This window comes from Homo sapiens, chromosome 6 (genome assembly GCF_000001405.40).
Source record: "Homo sapiens chromosome 6, GRCh38.p14 Primary Assembly".
Lineage (NCBI taxonomy): Eukaryota > Metazoa > Chordata > Mammalia > Primates > Hominidae > Homo > Homo sapiens.
Genome location: NC_000006.12, coordinates 79,413,090 through 79,436,549, shown reverse-complemented (window position 1 = coordinate 79,436,549; position 23,460 = coordinate 79,413,090). Strand labels below are relative to the sequence as shown.

General features: G+C 37.6%; 1 long non-coding RNA gene across 5 annotated transcripts in view; it reads right to left on the bottom strand.

The window, feature by feature from the left end:
• LOC100506851 (uncharacterized) overlaps positions 1-23,460 on the bottom strand; it is an 84,650-nt gene that overhangs the window by 53,147 nt on the left and 8,043 nt on the right. For 3 of the 5 annotated variants that reach the window (XR_001744213.2, XR_001744214.2, XR_942711.4), the window contains exons 1-3: positions 16,146-16,286; positions 15,913-16,010; positions 14,347-15,512 (exon numbers count right to left, since the gene is read on the bottom strand). This is a non-coding gene — a long non-coding RNA (uncharacterized LOC100506851). Of the gene's footprint in view, positions 1-14,346; positions 15,513-15,912; positions 16,011-16,145; positions 16,287-16,739; positions 16,945-23,460 lie in introns of those variants that run through there. The other 2 variants (XR_001744215.3, XR_942713.4) reach the window with 2 other exon arrangements.

The window sequence follows — 23,460 nt, the reverse complement described above, 5'->3', positions numbered from 1 at the left end:
TATTTCTTGTATTTATTATGTATTTGCATGCACATTGCAAGATCTTAAGAAATTCACTAAGTAGTCATAACCTTTGCTTTCTAGGAATCTAGACTATGACGTTAAAAGAACGGCATTTTCATGATCACCCCAGTGTAAACCTGACACTCCCCATCATTACTAACATTCTTTCAGATAATGTCTGAATTTCCTCCCACTTTCATTGTGGGTATTGGGAGGGCAAAGAGTAGAAAACAACAACTTAGGGAATGCACAAACATGGAATTGGGATTTGCAAACCATATTCAGGAAGAGACAGCTTTGGCTAGAGCAATAGTTTTAATGATTTAATGGTTTTTAATTTTTTTTTAAGGGCTTTGTTTAGATGTCTCAGGATTCTTTGAACTTCCCATGGCACGTGGGGAGTGGGCATCAAGTGGATGGGGCTGTAATGTTTTTAGGCACTACAATGAACTGAATGATTATATTTCTCCCCAGACTCATATGTTCAAATCCTAACTCCAAATGTGATGGTATTAGGAGGTGAGACCTTTGCAAAGTGATTAGATCATGAGGATGGAACCCTCATGAATGGGACTAGTGCCCTAAAGTAACCCCAATTACCTCTCTGGCTTTCTGCCATGTGAGGATACAATGAGAAGTCAGCTGTCTGCAACCTAGAAGAGGCCCCTGACCAGAACCCAACCTTGCTGGTACCCTGTGTTAGTCTATTTTTGCATTTCTACAAAGAAATATCTGAGGCCAGGTGATTTAAAAAGAAAAGAAGTTTAATTGGCTCACAGTTCTGCAGGCTGTACAGGATGCATGGTGCTGGCATCTGCTTCTGGTAAGGAACTCAGGAAGCTTACAATCATGGCAGAAGGCAAAGAGGGAGCCAGTGTTATCACGTGTGAGAATGAGAGCAAGAGAGAGAGAAGGGGGAGGTCCCAGATTCTTTTAAACAACCAGATCTCACAAGAACTAAGGGAGAACTCATTTACTACCAAGCGGATGATGCTAAACCATTCCTGAGGGCTTCGCCTCCATGATCCAATCACCTCCCACCAGGCCCCACTTCCAACACTGGGAATCACCGTTCAGCATAGATTTGGAGGGGACAAACTTTCAAACCATCTCATACCCTGACCTTGGACTTCCAGCCTCCAGACTATAAGAAATAGATATCTGTTGTTTATAAGCCACCAATCTATGGTGCCCTATTATAGCAGCCTAAACTGGCTAAGACAGGTGCTATTTTTTCCATGTTCCAAGTTTCTTGCTCACCATCCTCATAATTTGGAACCTTCTTTTCTAATTACGGATATATTAACAGCATATACTAGGAGGCTGTCAACTTAGGGCCTATCTTTTTAAAGTGACCTTGAATATGTTTTCCCTTATCTAGAAGGATCTCTATAGTGAGTTGTTTCAGATATGTGGGCTCTAGAACTAGACTGATGGATTCAAATACTGCCCTGCCACTTACTTGCTCTTTTACTTTGAGTAAGTTAAACAACCTTTCTGTGCCTTAGTTTTCTCATCAGCAAAATGAAGTTAATATTAGAATCTCTCTCATAAGCTTGTTATGAGAATTAATGCACTAATACAGGAATTGGCAATTTTTTTCTGTAAAGAACCAGATACTAAATAGTTTAGGCTTTGTAGACTATGTAGTCTCTGTTGCAACTACTCAAGTATGCCCTTGTATTAAATAGAGTGGAAGCAGCCATGGATAATACCTGAATGACTTGGTGTGGCTATGTTCCAATAAAATCTTACTTACAAAAACAGGCAGCGGGCTGAATTTGGCCTACAGGATGTAGTTTGCCAATCCCTGGAATACTTGTGCACCAAAACTTAGGCCCATTGTAAGAACTCCAAAAATATTAGTTTTTTTTTTTTTTAAATCATCGTGGTCATTGTCATCATCATCAGCAGCATCATCATATACTCATATACTCATTCAACAAAGGATAATAAATCCTATGTGCTAATTTTACTGTGTAGTTCTCAGTGTTGTTCAGACTTTGCTACTTCTATGCATTTCCTACACTCAGGGCTCAGGTTCTCAAACCTTCCACTAAACTTCCTCTACCAGCAGAAGGAGTAAAACTTCATCCCATGGTTCTGGGGCTGGCAATAGCCCTAAATGCAGAACATGCCTTTCAAGTGTCAGAATTTATCTTAAAAAACCGTGTAGTGTTTGCATTTTACTCCATAGTATATTTATGTTTCCTTTAATACAAAAAAATGACTGAAACCATTCATCATTGAGTAAAACTGACCATGTTTACCAAGCATCTTCTGGTTTTCCATCACATGTACATTTATACAAATTTGAGAAACGAGGCCTATGATAACAGGAACTTAAGCTTTGAGGTAGGTCACCTGCTTAGACTTTAATAGCCTTGGTATTCTCTGTGGGTATTAGATCTTTCTTAAACACAAAGTAAGGGAATAAAATTAGACAACATAGACACCAAAAAGTTCACTGAAAAATTTAGATAACTCCATTCATTGTCTTTCACTTGGCAGGCGACAAAGTACGTGTCTGGACTCCTGCAGCTCTGATCTTACCCTCATGGCTCAGGAGTGTTGACGACATACAGGAAATCAGCATGTGCCCATTAAGTCATACAAAAAATAAAATTATAAAAAAATATGAAAGAGAATGTGTGTGAAGGAGACTATGAGCTGAAGCATATAAAATTTTCAATATTTGAACAGTTGTGGCAGTTTCTATGGTTCAACCTAATACTTCTCCAAAGCTTGTTAACCAGCAATGGGCATAGCACTGATTTTTAAGTGAAATATTACCACTGTAGGTCATAATAAGAATAGCACTTTCGGGCTGGGCACAGTGGCTCACACCTGTAATCCCAGCACTTTGGGAGCCTGAGGCGGATGCATCAGGAGGTCAAGAGATCAAGACCATCCTGGCCAACATGGTGAAACCCCGCCTGTACTAAAAACAAAAATTAGCCGGGTGTGGTGGTGCACGCCTGTAGTCCCAGCTACTCGGGAGGCTGAGTCAGGAGAGTTGCTTGAACCGGAGGCAGAGGTTGCAGTGAGCCGAAATCGTGCCATTGCACTGCAGCCTGGCAACAGAGAGAGACTCCGTCTCAAAAAAAAAAAAAAAAAAGAATAGCACTTTCAGACTCTGTATAAAAAGTGCCCCCAGAATACAGAATATGGAAATAGAAAGCAAAAGTTAGTGGGTAATGCTGAAAACAATCAGAACAGTAGCCTAAGGGTTTGAATTGTGATCAAGGTTCATAGTCAGAATAGATATAGTTTCAGACATTTTTGAGAAATGATCCTTGTGGGTGCTTCTTGATCCAGCAGGTGCTAAGAAATAAAACATCAGGACCAAAAGAATTAGCCTTGAGCATTGTATGAAAACACTTGGAAAGATGAAGTCCCCTGTGTTCTTCATGGCCATAAGCAAAGTGCATTTATTCAACCATTTTATCAGTGTGAGGTGGAGAGAAGCAGATGTTGTTTCACTCTTCCTCTGTTTTAATCAGTTGCCAGACAATACTCTGAAGACATATGACAAATTTCTGTTAGCATTTCCCTTAGTAGCCAGCTTAGCACCCACAGCAGACTTTTCAGACTCTTATATTCTAACCAAGATACATTCTTTCCTAAGTCATTTAAATTCCAGTTCTTATCTCAAATCTTAAGTTTTATATAGGGGTGAATAGACTGGTGATGAAACCACACAGATAGAGAAAGTAGCCAAACAATAGCACCACTGACATATGAAGAGTGTAAGTATGAAATATGCATGAAATTTTGCAAGTTAGGGTAGATCAGCCCTATATGAGTCTTCAGATATTAAATTCCCGAGTCTAGATCTGGAGAAATAGAAGCTCAGAATGAGAATTTGGGTAATCAAGGAGGAAAGCAGAGCGTTTCTAAGCACATGTGAGTGTTTCTACCTGTGGAATGGCACACTTTATGTAGCCTTGGAGTTTAGATTTGCTGCCTTCATTCTGTCTTAGATTGTATGACTTGAAGCTTCAAATGACAAGGCAGGGGGAGAAAAACAAAACAGTTAAACCAATTTCAGAAGAATTTGTGAAAAACTAGTCAACATTTTCTGATGGAAATAACTGTCAAGTTGACAAGAAACTTGGCCTCCTACTATATCAAAAATTTGATCCAAATGGAAAACATTTTCTAATTAAAATTCCTAAACATACACAGAAGTTAAAAAGGATAGTTTAAAAAACCCACCTATATTCAATTTTCAAAATGTTTCCCTTCTTGCTTTATCTACCCCTTTGGTTGTTGAGGTGTTTTAAAACAAATCGCAGTTGCACATCATTTCACTCCCATCCATCATTTCTTAAAAATTAAGGATATTTTCTTTTATAACTATATTGCCACTTGGGAAAAATTTTAAATGATTATTTATCACTAAAAAATGTGTACTGACTGTTTATCTTCCTCCTCATTGCAAAAATGCATATAATAGGAGAAAAAGAAAAATAAGGGTAAGAAAGCAAAGTGAAGCCAGGAATAAGAGTATTGAATATCAGTGTATACAGAAGGTCCCATTCTAATCTTAAACTCAGTCGCTTGCTTCACCAGGACCAAGGCAGGAGGGAAACTCTGGCAGTCACAAGATTTAGTGTTTATGAAGGGGAACGGCATCATTTCTCTGGAGAACATAGCTTTTCCTGTCTGTAAGCTGTGTGGGGAATTTCTCCTGGATGTCTTCATGAAGAAGACGGTATGAGATTTATTGGCCAATATACTTTACAAAATCCCCACAATAAATACAAAAGAGGTTTTGTGCCACTCCTTGTTAGAGTGTCCTCGTTGCATACCAAGGTCTAACGCTGAATCCAGCTGAGTAAAAGTTGTCTGACAAGGGGCCAGAGCTGTGTGTCTTGTCCACCTGGTGGCTGCCATCCCAAGGTACAGCAGAAAGCCCATTCATTTAAAATAAGCTTTTAAATCTCCCTCTCAGACTCCCAGTGTCCCAATTCCTCCATTAATAATACAGCCCTAATTTTAAAAACTTGAATCCAGCTGTTACTACTTTTAAATGCTGTTATCCATTGCAAGTCAGTGTGACACCAAATGTATCTTCCACGTTCGTTCATCATTTCTGAGTTTGGCCCAGCCACTGGGTTTTTTTCCCCTGTTGTTCAGGAGGGTTGCAAATGGCAAAAGCAATCAATCTATGAAGCAAATCAGTGTGAACAGCTATTGCGGGGAGAGCTAACCCTGCAGCTATCTGCTATTTTTTTTTTGAAATAGAAGCTGAGCTTGTCTTTGGATCTAATGACTGGAATACCCATGGACTAAAGGGACTGTCTCCCTTCAGCTTTTAGAAAATTCTCATACTCTGGGCCAGCTTAGCCGATAGTTTCCAAGCTGCAGGAACAGCTTGAGGCTGAGGGCGGTGGTCCTGCTCCATCAGTCGTGGGAACCAGGTGGCTCCCGGCATCCTCGGCTCTCTCACCTCCACGCTGCTGCTGCCGCATTGATCCTCGACTAGCGCTCTGACTCCTCAACACTCTACCACCTACCAGCGATATCTCTGAGAATGGTGCAAAGTGGAATTTATTTGTGCCCTTGGTGTGTGTAACACAGCTCATCATGCTTTTAAAGATCTCCTCCTGGTTTCTGCTAACAGCCTTTGCTTGCTTCCTGCAGTTCTGTTCATCACACAGCTAAATAAACCTGCTTGACGTTGCCATCTCTCAGGAGTCCAACCAGAAAACACACTGAAATCATATACTTAGGTGAGATGACATCAAGGAACAATGAGATAAAACAACTCAATAACTAGGAAAAAAATTTTGAATGCACAAATATTTTCTTGTCAAACTTTAAAAAGAGAAAGAAAACAAAAATATTTTTAGAAATTTGAACATACCCACAGTGGTAAAATATGTCCTGCTCCCACATTGCATATTTTCCTGGGTATAACATTCCTATTTTAAAATCATAGCAACAGATTCAAGAAACAAATGTCTTTGAAAATTCCATTTCATGGAAGTGTCACTGTATGCATTTAAACTTTTTTCCTACTGAAAATTATTGCAAACAGCATGAAAAACGTCAACACAGGAAACAGAATAAAAGTAATGGATGATCTTAAAAAAACAGAGGGATAAAAATGTCCGTGAAATACTATGCTCAAATGACTAATGTTAATATTTAGGTTAAATTATTCCCTGTAGGCAAGAAAATAAGATGCCCACAGAGTAATACATAAAATAATAGTAGCAGGGAAAATAAAGTTAGAAAAGTCAGTAATATATCCAGATCATTTTAGAAAGCTGACAGAGAGAATATCCAACAATAAAATAAAATTTGTTCATATTGCAAAAGAACAGAAAATTTCAGATTATTGTTGATTTTTCCACTATACCAAAAACATTATTAGATGTTTTATGTTGCTTTTGGCCTGTAATATCCAGATTATCTGTTCTATTTCCTCTATCACTTTGCAGATGTCTTACTTTTAATTCTGTCACTCTCTCCAATGTATATACTCATTCACTTATTTTTAGATTTCTACATATAATTAAACAGTATTCATTCATTTTCCTAAATACAGCCTTTTCTTTGGAATCTTTACCATTAAAAAGTCTAGATGTTGAATCCTACTTTCCTGTTTTCCCGTCGACATTTGCTTTCCTAGATTCCAAAATAGCAAGTATCTCAGATGTACCTCACCATTACTCCATTTTAATTGAAGTCTTCCTGTTAGAATTATGTTCAGTACCCTGGGAGTTACAGTACAATGAAGAAAGTCACAATTAAATAAACAAAATAAAAAATAAACTGGAGGGTAATATGTAGATATTTGTCTGCAGGAAGTGAAGTCCAAGCTCCCTGTTAAAGAACAGGAAGGATTTAAGTGTAGAGAAAAGGGGAGGCTGTTTCTATGTACCAGGCTGTCACTGCTTATAGTTGCTTACAGCCAATTCCCATATTAATCTCCTTATATCTTTGTATGTATATCCTAATAGTCCTGTTTCTCTGGAGAACCCTAACTAATACAGAGAGTGAGCTGTTTATCATTATCAGAAGGGCCTTACAGTGACATAGCCTGGCACATAGAAGGGGTGTTATGTATACCACTTAGCCGCAGAGGGGAAACCTAGACACTGGAGGGATGCCTGGCAGAGAGAGGGATAGAAACAGTTTTTCTTTGCTTATGATCGACGATCATAAAAGCCATACTGCTGACAAAGTCCAGCGCCAGCTCTAGAAGCTGTTGTATCCAACCTGCCCTCTTTAGTTCCACTGGGAGAAAGCATGGTCATTTACTCACTAAATATACCCCAAACCACACCAGAAGAAATAGGACCCTGAGGTCAGGGCCCATGATGAGCCACTCCAGGGGAGCCCTGAGCATGATTACAGTGTTTGGTAATGAAATGTTCCACACTACTCTAGATGTTACATTGCATATTGACTACCCAACTCTCAACACACAGAGAGCCCTTCTGGAACTCATCAGCATCTCCATCTACCATCACTGAGTCTTTTTCATTCTAATTAAGGGTTTCCAATTCTTAATTGCCTAAATCTCTCTGAGGGAGTCTCAATACACAAATCACAGATTGATTTGTTTGTAGTGGGACAAAATTACTGTTTTCCCCATAGTTTTAAATTCTCCTCTAAAGATCTATAAGAACCTGTGATTGGGGTCATTCTTTATATAAAGTAGTAGTGTATTACAGGAGGGAAGATTCTGAACAACCCAATCCATCTGTAGACTCACCATAGCACAGGATACCAAGGTTTACAACCAGGCTCCAAGAGTGGAATAAAGAGAGGAATGAAGATTAGAGAAAAGCCTTTGATTTTCTACTCAATATTCGAAGAAGTGAGGGTGAACATTCACTCTTCCTTTAAAATCAAGCCCAGAATCCTTCGTATTTTTGTCAGTGGCCATAGAGTATATTAACATCCTGGAAAGTCAGTTGTTCCAAGGGCACTTTCTAGATCCTCTTGGCCAGAAAACTGTCTTCCTTAAACCCAGAACCACGGCTTCCACTGCTTAATCAATAATAAATGATTGCCTCCATTCTGGCAGAGCTAGATGTCTGTAGAACTGATTGTCATGAAGAAAAACCTTTATCATTTTTTCTCCAATTTTTCCAGCTATCCAAGGACATTTACATTCTCAGTTACGAGTAGCAAGGCATGGGGCTATTATTTTAAATTCTGGGCATCGTTCTAGAAATACAGGAATTAGGAATAATCTTCTGTGGAAGGATGTCTAAGTATTGCAGGGGTTATTTGGACATCAGTGACAGCCTGGTGCATACTTCCAGTTGAAATAGTTAAGAAATCATATACTAGCTTCCACTGAGTTGATCTAGCTAGGGCCTCATTTTCATATCCTACCATTTTGAGAGGTAGGAGTTCTTTAGAAAAAGATTGGTTCTAAGTGTCAGAAATGACAACTCATGTCAATCTGTGTGCTAACTTCCATCAGAATACCTCTTGTTTTAGTATTAGGTATGGTTGAGTTGCACACAATTGTCATATGACTCAGTCATCCTAATGATTTTTCATTCTCTCTCTTTTAATGGTCAACTGATTAAAATAAGATGAACACAGAGCCTCCCAGCAATGAGTATCTCTGGGTGCACTCAGCTCCCTGGCTTCTGCTTTGGCTTATCATCTAACAATGCCTCTGACTCAGACTGTCTCCCACCAAGGCTGTATTTTGGTTGCCTGTTTCTACCGTGTGATCAAGACATTGGATGTGCCCAGATCCCAAGGGCCTTTCGCTGCCCTAGACACTCCTATCTAATCAGTATGAAAAATGTCCAATGTAGTAAATGCCACTTTAATTATAAGCTTGCTTCAACTGGATTAGAATCAAAATAAGCATGCTTAAGACAAAAATTAGGTCTGAGAAAGCAAAATTAGCAAAAGAGCTTCAGGGACAGGAATCCATTTCTATTTCAAGATTAAGTGATTTTCTTCTGTAATTCTCATTTTAATATTCTCTTTTCCACCATAAACCTACACCATCATCCAATGCCATGCATTTTTACTCAAGTAATTGTATTCTTCTTACTTGCCTTTCTGGTATGACTTCAGGTATACTGCCTTTCTGCACTTCAGGGCACCCCTAGTTTTGGATGCAGATGCTAAGCGTTAAAGCTATAACAGTAGAGGTTAGTAAGCAGTGGCAACAGTGGCTTTAGAGTTAGACTTGGTTTAAAATTCTGGCTCCAGCACTTGTTAGCAGTGTAATCTTTCACAGCATATTTACCCCTCTAAGCTTCAATTTCCTAGCTATAGAATAGTAAGAATAATAGTTATTTTGCAGTGTGATTTTAAAGACAAATCAACCAATGTTGATAATGCCTTTGGCAAGAGGCCTGGCGAATGCAGTATACCACCTGACAAATGCTACTTGTTGATATGAGTAGGAAGATGCTCACCAGATCCATGTGTAAATCTGGAATCAGGAAGACTCAAGCTCTGATGCCATCTCTAGCACTTAAGAGTTGTGAGGCTCTGGGCAAGTTGCTTAACCTCTCTTTGTTTTGCTGGCTCTTTTGCAAAATGGAGATAAAAACAGCTGTCTCACAGGTGTCATTTCTGGGTGCTGTGTTGATTAATACAAGCTTCTTCTAAAAGTTAAGGCTCAGCGGTATTTGTTTATAATGAATAAAGTGACCACCACCCGCCTTTGAAATACCCTGCTAATGAGAAAGAAAACATGATCATAATCTAAAGCTTTCCAGCGGCAGGTATTCTTGTTCTGTCCTCATGGCCATAAATAACACCTTCTATTCAATTTGTCCAAATTGTTCCCTACCAGATTTCCGACTACAGGCCAGGATCTCTGGCACTAAAACAGGCAGAGTAATGAACAAAGTGTTCTCTGCTTTTTATGCATGCTACAGATTTGGAGTACAGTAGGAGGGTAACCAGTGAAGCTGAGCCTAGGTCAAGGATGATAAGAGACTCCAAGAAACCACAGTGGTCTATTGTTGAAAATGTTGAAGAACCAGATACCTCAGTTGTTCTAAAAATAGGGGTCCTTTTTCTAAGCAGATATAAAAATACCGTCTAGAAACCAGCTATATCATAACAAGATATATAGAAGACAGAGTGTCATGGTTAATTTTACGTGTCAATTTGACTGACACATTAAGGGATGCCCAGATAGCCGGTAAAACATTTCTGGGTGTGTCTGTGAGGGTGTTTCTGAAAGAGAATAGCATTTGAATCAGTGGACTGAGGTAAAGAAGAGCTGCCCTCGTCAACGTGGTCAGCATCATCTAATCTGTTGAAGACCTAAACAGCACAAAAATGCAGAGGAAGAGCGAATTCTCTCTCTCCCTCTCTCTCTCTATCTCTCTCTCTGTCTGTCTCTCTCTCTCTCCATGAGCTGGGACACCTGTCTTCTGCTCTGAAATACTGGAGTTCCTGGCCTTCTGACTCTGGGACTTATACCAGCAGCTCCTATTGTTTCTCAGGCCTTTGGACCCAACCTGAATTACAGTCTGAATTTGGAGTTCTCCATCTTGCAGATAGCATATGATGGGACTTCTTTGCTTTCATAATCATGTGAGCCAGTTCCCATATTAATCTCCTTATATATGTATATCCTACCGGTCCTGTTTCTCTCGAGAACCCTAACTAATACAGAGAGTGAGATGTTTATCATTAGCAAAAGGGCCTTGTGACAGGTATACTATTGTCCCTAATTATTTGCTGCTACTCTCTGTAAGAAGAGTATACTTCTCCACCCCATTGATGGCAGGTTTGGTCACATGACTTGATTTGGCAAGTGAAATATGAGCAGTATGCCACTTGCAAACAGAATCTTTGAGAGCCACTGGTAATTCTTTGCTCTTAGACATTTCTTCAAAACATCTTCTCTAATGATTTCCTTATGCAGACCAGAAGTCCCTGTTGGACTTAACTGGACTCTTCTTGAAAAGGTTGCAAAGATCAGCTAGTAGTATGTTTAGCATTTCACTTTACAATGTGGGAGCACGTCGTTCTCAACTTTGGTTTTCAGTCAACACAAACTTACACACATACACACACACACACACACACACCCCTCACATATATTTATATTTATATATTCTAGACTGTTGAGTAAATTCTCTGTCTTTTGTTATTTTCTGTGAGATCATGTAACTTCTTAATGCAGTTGGAAAATGTGGTGCAAATGATACTGTTGTAAATGAAAGAACTTCATCAACCTCTAATTAGAAGTTGAATAACTATGTGAACAGCATAATAAAATAGCCCATTTTAGTAATCTACAACAGAAATTAGTTCAGGGAAGACTTTATTGAAAGGATAAGACTAACAAGCCCTTATTAAATGCATTTTAAAAATATTTCCTTAACTTCTGGACCAACACTGTCCAATAGAACTTCCCGCAATGATGGAAGGATTCTACGTCTGTGCTATCTGATATGGTAGCTACTAGCCATATGTGGAGTACTTGAAATGTGGCTAGTGCAGCTCTGAAGATGAATTTTAAATTAATTTACATTTAATTAATTTACATTTAAATTTATATAGCCCCACATATGGATAGTAACAACTGAATTAGTGCACCCTAGAGCCTGCATTGAAAGAGTATCTTTTCCTAATAACTTAAGTATTCTTTATGTTACTATATTTGGAACTAAGAAGCTTATATGTATGTATATCTATAAGCTTATATCCATATACATATAGGCTTCTTAATTGTATGCACACACATACACATATACACACACACACCCATGCATACCCATGTCTATATCTTTCTAGTTATCTATTTATGCAAGTACCAGACAACTTTGCCCTTTTTTGTTTAGGCAACCATTGTATACCATTGCAGAGCTGAGAAATTATTGCCTGTTTTGTTCCAGACTTCCAGGGAGTACGGGTACTCCCACTGGAGATCTAATCTAGCTTTAGGGAGAAAATCTTACAGAAAAGTATTTCCTCAAGATGAAATTTGCAAAAATATAGTACCACATTTTAGAATCATAAGTCAAAGATGTTCTTATTGAATCCATCCATTGATCTAAAAAGAACTATTCCCAAATTATCCTGACAATTTCCAATACTATATTAACCAATCTCTATACTTTAGTTCCTCTTCTTTTTACCAGAAATTAGTTATTCAAATGGCCAGATTTTAGTTGCCCCAGTCCTTAAATTGTAAATGAACTATATTTTTATTTCACTATAGAATTAAAGGAATTTATGTACCTCATTTTTAAGGAACACCACTGCAAAGGTATAATGTTCTGAAATCTGCTGTAATTATAAGAACACGGGATTTGGAAAATAATTTGGGTTGTGAAGACGTAATTATTTGGGAAGCCTGGAAAGCTGGAGGTAGGTCTACTATCAGGGACATTTAGACACTGATGGTCTTTACTATCTGTGGATATGACCTTCCTGGTGGACTTTCTCAGGGAGCAGAGACCAGGGAAATCCTTGTTAGTCAGGCCATATTGGTCCTGCCTTGGAGAGATTTCTTTTTCCTTGGCTAATTAACTAAGACATTTAATCTATTCTTAATGTGGGTGTGGTGTGTTCTTTTTCACTTTATTATAGAGCATCAGAAAGACCTGATTCTACTTCCTAGTGTCAGTGTGAGAATTAATTCATCTATAGGATTTAGTATAGCAACTAATATCATGCCATCAATAAATAACTGCTGATTTTTAAATTGAGTTTTAAAAGTAAAATGTAATTTTAACTAAAGAATAAAAATGCTTCTAAGAAGCATACGATCTTTTGGAATAAAGTAAAGGGCTATTCACTAGAAAAAGACAAAGCTGTACCAAGCATACTGACAACAAAGCCATCCCCAAATGTAAGATTTTAGTTTTCTATTAAAAAATAGAATATAATGGAATTAGTTCAAGATCAAGCTCCTTTCTATGGATAAGATAGGCACTAACAGCATTGACCTTTATTAATATGAGAAAAGGAAATTAATGAATATAAAGCAGGAAAGCTGAGACACTCTGAGGTTTCCATGAACTGCTTATGATTGCTCACATGCCAGACTCTGGAATATTTCCTAGATTTCATCTCTAGTTTCCCTCGGCCCAGCTGAGTGTAATTAATAAAACTCTAAGCACCTGCAAGAAGCTCCCAGTATTGTTTTAGGGAATCTTCTCTGTAGGCTAGTGGGAGAGAATGCTAGTTATCAAGTCTTACCTCCATAAAGGAAGTAATGCCGTCAGTAGGATTAGTCTCAAATAGTCATTGTGACATCTTTCAGTTGGATTTTTCTCAACTTAGAAATCAGGTTTTGAAAATGTTAATACACTTTCAAAAACAAACCTGAAGAAGATAGTGACATTTTCCAAAGTAGCTGAATAGCATCATAACCTCGCTTAAGTAATGAAGAATTCAGACTTGTAGCAGAAGAATATTAAATGTGGGAGCAGCTATTTTTACAATGTTTAATGTAAAATGTCTATCAATCTTATATTGATTATGTCTAATGTTAAAGGCAATACATCAAGATTATTTCTCAAAATGTAAACAGAGCAGCAATCAGAAAGAGTGGATTTATCAGGAATATGTTTTATATTTGTTGTGCCTTTATTCCCCAGGAAAAATATAAAACTATGTGCAGCTAAAGTGTCTACTTGACTGCCTGATGATGATTAACATTTAAGAATTTGCTCTGGGGGAAATAAGGTGGAAATTTAAATAGTGTTGCAATTTGCCATTAGTGCTGTTTTTCACTATTTCCAAATGAGGACACAAGTAAAAGATAGTGGGGAAATCGCATGGACTATATAATATTCAGTCCAACCCTCTTCCTCTCATTGATTCTGTAGATACATGCTGGTTTAACTGCATAGATGACTTTGTTTTTAAGCTGTCTTTAAAGAAACTTTAAATCTTCCTTATTTAGCAAATATCCCTATAGTCTTTGGATGCAAAGTGTCTACATGTACATATAGACACAGAGATATATTTTATATTCATCAAACAGAATATCAATTCATTCCAAGTTGCAGAGTCACATCCTCTAAGAAAACATTGACTCTCCTCATTGCTGATAATATACCTCCCTCCTCCCTTGACGGATTATACCATTTGTCCCTTTACTTTTGAACCCCAGCAAAGGGTCTACTATCCTAAGAGATGAATCTAATTAAATTTTAGGGCATACTCAAGTGCTAGAAATAAACAAAAGTAAGACAAGAGCTCACGTATAATAACAATAGTAATCCCCACAGCAGTCATTTAAATTAATGCTTGTAATCAAGCAACGTAAACACCATAATGCAAAAGCAGAACTAAAATCAACATTCCACCCTATAAAACAGAGGGTGAGGGAGAGTGCTGGTAATATTGACAAAGATACTTTTACTTTACCCATGTAAACATCAGACTGTCTTGTTCTCCCTAGGCTTGCTTTTCATTCTTTGGTATGACAGTTCTGATTCTTCAGCCTCCCCATGAAGAAAAGAAAAATTCTCTTGAAGCTGAACTAAATTCATCAGCAAATGAAATTATATTCATTTGATAAAATGCTAAATGGAAAAGGCAGGTTTATTTTAAGCCGTCAACAGGCTGTTTTAGTTAATCATGCACAGTGCAGAAGACAGGAGTTTGGTTGCTAAGAAAATGTTTGGCATGTTTCCACGAGATCCATGTGACGTGAAATGCATCTGTTCATTTCAATAGTGAAATAGAAAAAAATAAAATAAACAGTGCAGGGTATATTTGGTGAGTCACTGTGGAACACAGGGCCAAAATAACTTCTGTGTTGTCAGTTTATTCTATACAACCTTATTGTTATGATGTTAGCCTTTTCTTATAATTCAAAAAAAATTTATTTTAATAGTGATGTTTTGTTAGCAAATTAATACAAATTCATTGTAGATAAATCAGAAAATACAAAATAAGAAAATTAAAATCTGCTGTAACACACACCCACACAAATACCAATATCTATATTGGTATGTGCATAGTAGGGGCTTAATATTTATTTGCTAAATGAATTAATATATATTTTACTTACAAATATGAGATCATACTGTAATACTTTTATAACATGCTTTAGAAATTAAAAGACATCATAAACATTTTTACTGTGTTATTAAGTATTCTTCTTTAGCATAATTGTAATAGTTTTCATTATTATGGGACAAGTAAGTTATCTGGAACTCCTGCAAAATTTCTTCAGTAGCCAGGAACTGAATGCGAGCACCTCCCAGTAAGACTGATACTGTGGTGCTGATATGATGAAATCTGAACATGTTCAACATTTTTTGCTGGGATGTCATACATATTCTCTGATTACTGAGCTAGTAAATGGAATCTCAGCTGTCCTGATTGTGTGTAATTCTGTCATTTCTACCACCAGATAGAGACCATCACTGCTTACATAGATAACGTGCCATTCACATCCAGGTGTACTAATGTGAGAGAGAATGGCCAAAGATAGCAATGTGCTTGGCACACCCTTGCACGCCATCGTGATCCTCAGAGTGAAGTAAGAATGGCTATTGTCTTCCACAACATCTTCAAGGTTGCTGCTGTGAACAAAGAGGCCAAACAGAAGAGTATTAATTCACAATGTGGAAGAATATATTGATTAATGAAGCTCTTAATTACGTAGTCCAAAAGGCTGAGAAGTTCCACACCCACAAAAAAAGGAGAAGCAGAGAAATGTAGTTGGTATCTCCTAAGAACTCACTTAAATCTACAGTCTTCACTAAGGACAAGGTGGAAAATAAGAAAATTTAAGGCCAAAACAATGACGGAGGGCAAACACAAGATTCTTAAAGGTTCAATAAAATCATTAGCTAGCTAAACAAGAACCAGCCTGCTGAGAAGAAGAATCTGAGTATCAGCAGAAAAGCTGGAGAAGTCTGCAAGATCATCATCACAAGCTGTTACCAAGGAGCTGAAGACATATCAAGAGAAATGGCTTACCAGGGGAAGAGCTCCTCTGTCACAAGGTGCCTCATCTGAAGCCACTATTAAAGCGGGTGTCCATGCTGACCAGAAACAAAGCACATTTCACAGACCTACTGCAAAGTTTAAATATGTGACTAAGTCAGTTCAGTGGCAGTTTAAAACATATTTAAACATAAATTAACCTGTAGACAAATAGATCAGAAAATGTGTAATAGCTCAAACACAACAGAAGTTTATTTCTTGCTCACTTAACAGTTGGAGGCAGGTGTTTCCTGGTTGGTGGACGTTTCTTCTCCACTTAGCAACTCAGGGACACAAACTGATTTTGCCTTCTCTTTGTCAGGGCTTCAAATTCATCATCTGCCTCCAGTCAGTGAAAGAAAAATGAGAGCTTGGAGGTGGAACACCTCCTTCTTTAAAGCTCTGTCCCAGAAATTGTATTCATTACTAGAACTCAGTCATGTGATCTAACTGCAAGAAGGCTGGGATATGTAGTCCAATTGTGTACCCAAGAACAGAAAATGGTTTGTTAGGGAGGGGAGAAACAGCAACCATTATCTGAGGTTGCTTAAATTTGGTCATATTTTGAATACTTTAGTACATGCTGGCAGTGCTGTAAATAAGCAAAAATGAATCCGGCACCCACATTCTGATTGCCACCAACTTCGTGTAATTTTTTAAAGGTATATAAAATTCATGTGTCAATGCATAAAGATCCATTTTAAATTGATACCATAAAAAACAAGTGGAATTGCTGGGTCAAATATTCATACAGAATTCTCTGGCTTTTCATTAAGTCGTGTCTAATTGACCCTGAGAAATTGTTCAATTTACATTCTTACCTGCAGTAGGTGAGAGTAGCTGCCTTCTGTGCTATCATCGACATCATTGTTAACATTGCATACAGCATTCACATTTTAAAGTTTTTTAAGAGACACATTATGATATGGTAATTGAGAGAACAGACCCTAAATCCATACTGCCTGGATCCGAATTCCACCTTGTCTTTTTTCTTCCTGAGACCTTTCTGTGTCTCAGTTTTCTTATCTGCAAAATAGGGTAATAATAGTACCTATTTCATTAGGTAATATTCATCTTTGTGAGGATTAAATGCGTTAATATGTAAAATGTCTTGAACAGCACCTGATGTATAATGTCTAATGTCTTATGTTTTGCTGTTATCATTTTTAATCTGTCATATATGTTATAAGCATCTGATGCATAATGTCTTATGTTTTTGCTATGATCATTTTTAATCTGTCTTATATGTTACAAACATTTTCTTCTGCATATTGCTTGTCTTTTGTCTTTATTTATAAAGCACTGCTTTCCATACAGACTTTAAAATGCTTTTATGGAGTAAACAATATCTAGACTTTCCTTTATAGCTTTTGTACTTCCAATTGTATCTTATAAAGGTCTATCTCTCTCTTTTTTTTTAAGTCATTCATGTCACAGATATGCTTTTTAAATTTTTTCTGATTTTCTTAGTCTGTTGGTATTGCTATAAAGGAATTTGGGAGGCTGGGTAATTTATAACAAAAAGAGGTTTATTTGGCTCATGGTTCTGGAGGCTGTACAAGAAGCAGGGCACCAGCATCCGCTTCTGGTGAGGGCCTCAAGGAACTTCTACTCATGGTGAAAGACAGACAGGAGCAGGCATCACATGGCAAGTGAAAGGAAGAGCTGGGGGAGAGAAAGGTCCCAGGCTCTTTTAAACAATCAATTCTTGTGTGAACTGATCGAGTGAGAACTCACTCACTACCACTAGGATGGCATCAAACCATTCATGAGGTATCTGCCCCACGACCCAAACACTTCCCACTAGGCCTCACATCCAACATTGGGGATCAAATTTCAACATTAGATTTGGAGGAGACAAATATCCACACTATTTCACTTGTTTTCAATTATAACTGAGAGCACAGTTTTTGTTGATTGTTTTGAGAAAGTCCTATCATTATTTTTCCTTAAAGTTTCTACATTAGGGGTTTGCTTAAAAAAACCCTTGCCACCCACTTACAGTTTAATTAATTTACCAACAATTGATATAAGTAGAGATATAACATTGCTTTCTAAATTGTTTTCTAATTATCCCATCATCATTTATTATTCTGTGCTCTGATTAAAGGGGCTCACTGAAGGTTGGTACCTCCCTCATTAACTTGACGGAAGCCACATTCCTTGTTTTGTTTTAAAGTCAGTTAAGAGATAGTTCTGTATGTACAGGCAACTCTCAACTACCAGCCCATAGATAACCCACTTTGGAGATCAATGAAATAAAAAACCAGACTGAAAAAAATCTTCTCAGCCTGGGCTCTTCACACTGCTTTCTACTGGGCTCTGCTCAGAAATGCCAGCTAACTTTAACTTTACATATGTCAGCTCGGAAGAACGATTTTTTAAAGGTATATAAATGTTTTACAGAGCTAATTACAAGTGAGTTTGGAAATTTCTGCCATCTAGCTATCTGTGCATTATGCTCTTCAATGATTACAAGTAATGGAAAGCTGAATGTTGTTTTTGAAAAAATGAAAACCACATGTCATTCCCGGAATCAGACACTGCTATGATTTTATAGAATAGAAATCAGAAGACAGAAGGGACTCAAGGAAATTTAGCAGAAACAAGTCACCCAAAGTAGACATAGATTTTTGACTCTGAAATGTAGAATTAGTCAATCAACAGCTCATAAAACTTTTTCTATAAGACCCCTCCTTTTCATGGAGGGCTCAAGTATTCATGAGTATTCTATGAAAAAGGAGTTCAAAGAATCTCAGATGTCATCACAGCTTTTCTTTAATCCAAAATATCTTAACAGAGGTATGGACCTTGGACTTCGAAACCTAGTCTTGGCTTGGCATGGGGGCTCACGCCTATAATCCCAGCACTTTGGGAGGCCGAGGCAGGTGGATCACTTGAGGCCAGGAGTTCAAGGCCAGACTGGCCAACATGGCAAAACCTCATCTCTACTAAAAATACAAAAATTAGCTAGGCATGGTGGCATGCCTGTAATCCCAGCTACTCAGGAAGCTGAGGCATGAGAATTGCTTGAACCCGGAAGGGGGATGTTGCAGTGAGACAAGACTTTGCCACTGCACTCCAGCCTGGGTGACAGAGCAAGAATGTGCCTCAAAAAAACAAAACAAAACCCAAAAAACAAAAAATCTGGTCTTAAAATAATTATCACTCAGTTATGGTCTACATCAATGCTTCTCAAACTATCTAAGGTGAAGAACCAGGGTTTTTTCCCATCCGAAAGAGAATAGTTCTGTGAAATATAATATAAATTGCTAGAAAGGTGAAATGAAAATATAAACAAATATAAATAGAAGCCCATTTATTTATTATTAGATTTAGCCAGTATAAAATTACTATGTCAAATTGCTGTAACAGTTTGTAAATCTAACTTTTAATTTCTGCTTTTATTTCATTGACAACCTAGTAACAGTTAGCAGGCTGATATGGATCCATGTGTCACACTTTGAGCAGCACCGTTCCATGCCATTTCTGGCCCCAAGCCAATGCATTTTTCAAAGCTAAAAGCTCCTATGACATTAGAGAATGGTGAAGAGAGAACGAATTTAACTGTTGTATATGTAACTAGAACAAATGTTACAACTTCCTTATTCCTGTGATCTGGTTATAGAGTTTCCAAAACATGTCTTTTGACCTGATATTTGGTTCTGAATTGATAAAATTATGATACACTTAGAATCCCTCACTCTGTACGTAATGTCTAAATCCTAAAATGCTGCTTGTATAGCATATTCCCTTTTCCAACTGTAATTTATTCAATATTTGTTTTCTATGCCTAATAACTTTTTAAAAAAATATTCAATGCCCATGAATTTAGTGCCATGTGGAATGGTACATAAAAGGAAACTTTACATTCTGGTTTTACTCCAGGTAAGAATTTTCCAGATTCCCTTTGTTCTATAGTTTCCTAAATGAGGAGCTCTTGGCCTCTTAGGCACTGGCTCAGCCTTTCTCTTAAACACTGAAAAGACTCCTTGGACCGAAATAAGAGCATTCATGGAGATCATTTTACTGACTTCCTTTCCTCTACCCTTACTCCTGCCCTTAAGCTTTCAGCATCTTTTGTTTTGCTTCTGATATATACCGTTCAGTATGATTAGACTGGGGAGGATACTAATAACCAGTTATGTTATCAAACTGTAGGGAACTACATTTCTTGACTTTCCTTGAAAAATATGGACTTAATCTTCCTGAGTAAAGAAGCATCCATTGTTATGTAGTTTATTTTATGCTATGACAATGGCATTTTACTGTTTAGACTTCAAATAGAAATTTTCTTCAGCAGTATTGCTTAATGTAACAAAATATTGGCCTTTAGAATATCTTCAAACATTTGTAGAGATGGAAAAAAATTAAACCATTTATTCACCTTAGGTTATAGTTCTTTCAACCACCTTTGATTAAAGCATGTTTAGAAAAAGTCAGTTTATGGTTAATATAGTAGGTAAAAGAATTAAGCAAAATTTTAGTGTTAAGTGTTCAGTAAAATGTCATTGCACACTGTTGATTTTATCACAATCTATCTTAGCTCATTGACCTTACTGACAGGTCTATCTTAGCATTAACCTTGTAGCTGATCTTGGTTTTTTGTTAATTGCCATCCTCTTTCACTCCTTAAATTTGTTATATTGTTATTTTAAAAAAGAAAAAGTCTGCTAATGTAAAGGTTCACATTTACCCAATAGATACCACTCTGAAAGCATTTATATGCTAATCAAAATATATGCTATGCATGGTTATACATATTAATTAACAACAACTATAAACAGATATTTTCTAAGCCCTACCCTAGATAAGTTTTAATTACTCACCAGAAGGATAAATTCCATTAATAGTCTTAAGAGTTTCTCTGACCGGGCGCGGTGGCTCACCCCTGTAATCCCATCACTTTGGGTGGCCTAGGCAGGTGGATCACATGAGGTCAGGAGTTCGAGACCAGCCTGGCCAACATGGTGAAACCGTGTCTCTACTAAAAGTTCAAGAATAGCCAGGTGCAGTGGCGCATGCCTGTAATCCCAGCTACTCGGGAGGCTGAGGCAGGAGAATCACTCGAGCCTGGGAGGCGGAGGTTGCAGCGAGCCGAGATTGTGCCATTGCACTCTAGCGTGGGCGACAAGAGTGAAACTCTGTCTAAAAAAAAAAAGAGTCTCTCTTGGTCTGCTTCAGAGAAAAGGTTGTAACACCTGGAAGAAAGAAAAGCTTTTCCCTAGGATGGGGAGAGAGGATGAGAAGACCATGGTGGAGTAAACCACACATGCCTGGAGCTATTAATTAGTAAAACTTGGCTCCAATGTCAACAATGTTATGACCTAAAAGGCTTCAGGCAAATGATAGAGTTTATGTCCAGTCCCAAGGCACCCTCCTGTTGTCCAGGACCTGTTCTACCACCTCCATGAAGTATCCCATCTCTTCCAGCCTCCTTCCTCCTCTGGAACCTTATTCCTTTCAATATCCTGGACACATGGCTGCACAGAAATCAAGCCTAGGGAGCATCACCATATTCTTTTACCTTGTTCATGAAACAGTGAGAACACCTCTAAAGCATTTCTAACCCATCCACATAACTTCAATACCTGGAATTTCACAAATGAAAACCTACTTCTCACATTCTTTTCACTAATTATCAAAACCTCTTGTGTTCGAGATAAAAACCAAGGCAACTATAGCTGCCTCTGAAATTTAGCGTTTTGATGAAATGCTACCAAAAACCATTGCTGGAGTATATATTTTCAATTCGAATAACTACCTGCCCTAGGGTCTGGATTAAAATGAAATAGAATAAGTATTTACACATAAATTGTTTGTTGAAGTGTTTTAAAGTAAATTACAGACCACATAGCACATTCCCTTTAAAAAGTCAAGCTTTGTGAAACAGGATTACATTTAGGATGTTCTCTTGCTCATTTCCTATTCATTCTTAACCCACAGCTTTCCAGCTCCCATCCCAACTATCACCTTGAAGGCTCCTGACAAGGCCCTTTATAACTTAGATGCTAAATCCAGTGTCAAGGTCCCAGCACAGTTCCTGAGATATACTTTTAAAGTATTAATGTTCTTTTCTGTAATTTTAGGCAAAGTCAAACATGTCTCAATACTATTTTTCCCTTGTCACGTACGCTCAATGTTTTAATTATAATTTTGAAAAACCTTGATTCAGGTATAAGACAGAAGAGTCTGGAAAAGTAATTAAGTGGAATACACCATGCTCATTATACGGCAATTGAATTTCAACCCCCATGAAATGACCAAAAAAATCCATTTATTTCATTAAATCCCCAAGCTCTTCTGAAAGTGCTGAGACTGACAACCCAAACATATAAAAGCACATGAAGATAATGATTAATAAATGCCTCTGGAAAATCATAGCTAGTAAAGATTCTTTTATGGGCAAGTTAGGGTCCACATTTTTCTAGCAAAATTTGTAGAACAGAGTCTACTAATTGTTAACAACAAGATTCTTTCCTGTATTAAATGTATAATATTTTCCTGTACATATCAGTTTTAACTTCTCTTCAAATACTCTAGACCGAATAAAAGAATTAGAAGTAGGTGATATGTTCATAGAGGCATTTCTAGGCAGGCAATGATTATGTTATAATACATACTGTTCTGAAGTTGTTTGAGTTTTAACTGAATACAAACAGGAAATGCATGTTTTTCCACTCAACACATTTGAGTGCTTTCCCTCCCATAGAATGGAATGTTGGGAGTGCCTTTATTTTCATTCAAATGGGTAATATATATGTGCATGAGATGTGGGAAATGCCACTAGTAATAACTGAAAATTTAACTTGAGAAAAGCTTCAGTTGCAAGGAAATAAGAACAGATTCAGAGTGGTTTTGGGAAGCTGCCAAATCATGAGTAGAAACATGTTAAAAAATCCTTCTCCTATTTTTTCTGACACTCAGAATTTCGAAATCTCCTTTGATAATCTTTGAAGCAGCCCCACCGTTCCCAGAAAAAACTGCAAGGAGCAGAAAGGATAGCTGTGTGAGTGAAAGTCATCCTTTAGGAGGGAGAGAGATTCAGGTTCTGATTCAACTAACATTTAGGGTGTTCCTGATAAGTTTCAGACACCATGTTTGGTGATTTCTCAAATAGTAATATGTTATTGTGTATTATTGTGTACTATTGTGTACTTGTATTCAAATATCCCAGCTCAGGGAGGGAATAAAGAGAAAGTGTATAAGTGCATATATATTTATCTTTTTCTTTTAGATTATGTGTATATATGATATGGGCAGGAGGCAGAGAAGTGCTGAGTAGAGGTGGGTAGTTTCCCGGCAAAGGCCCCATTCTCGAGTCTGGAAACCCGCAGCCCTGAATAAGAACAGGTATTCCTGTTTCCTTGCCCAAATTTTGCCTTTTTTCCCACCACACACCTCTATTCTATACCCATATAAACTCCAAACTGCAGGCTCCATGAGAGGACAAACAGAACAAAAGAGTAGGGAGAAGGAGAGAAGAGAAGGAGCATCTGAACGTCTAGAAGAGTTCAGCTGGGGATGGTTGGAGGGCAGATC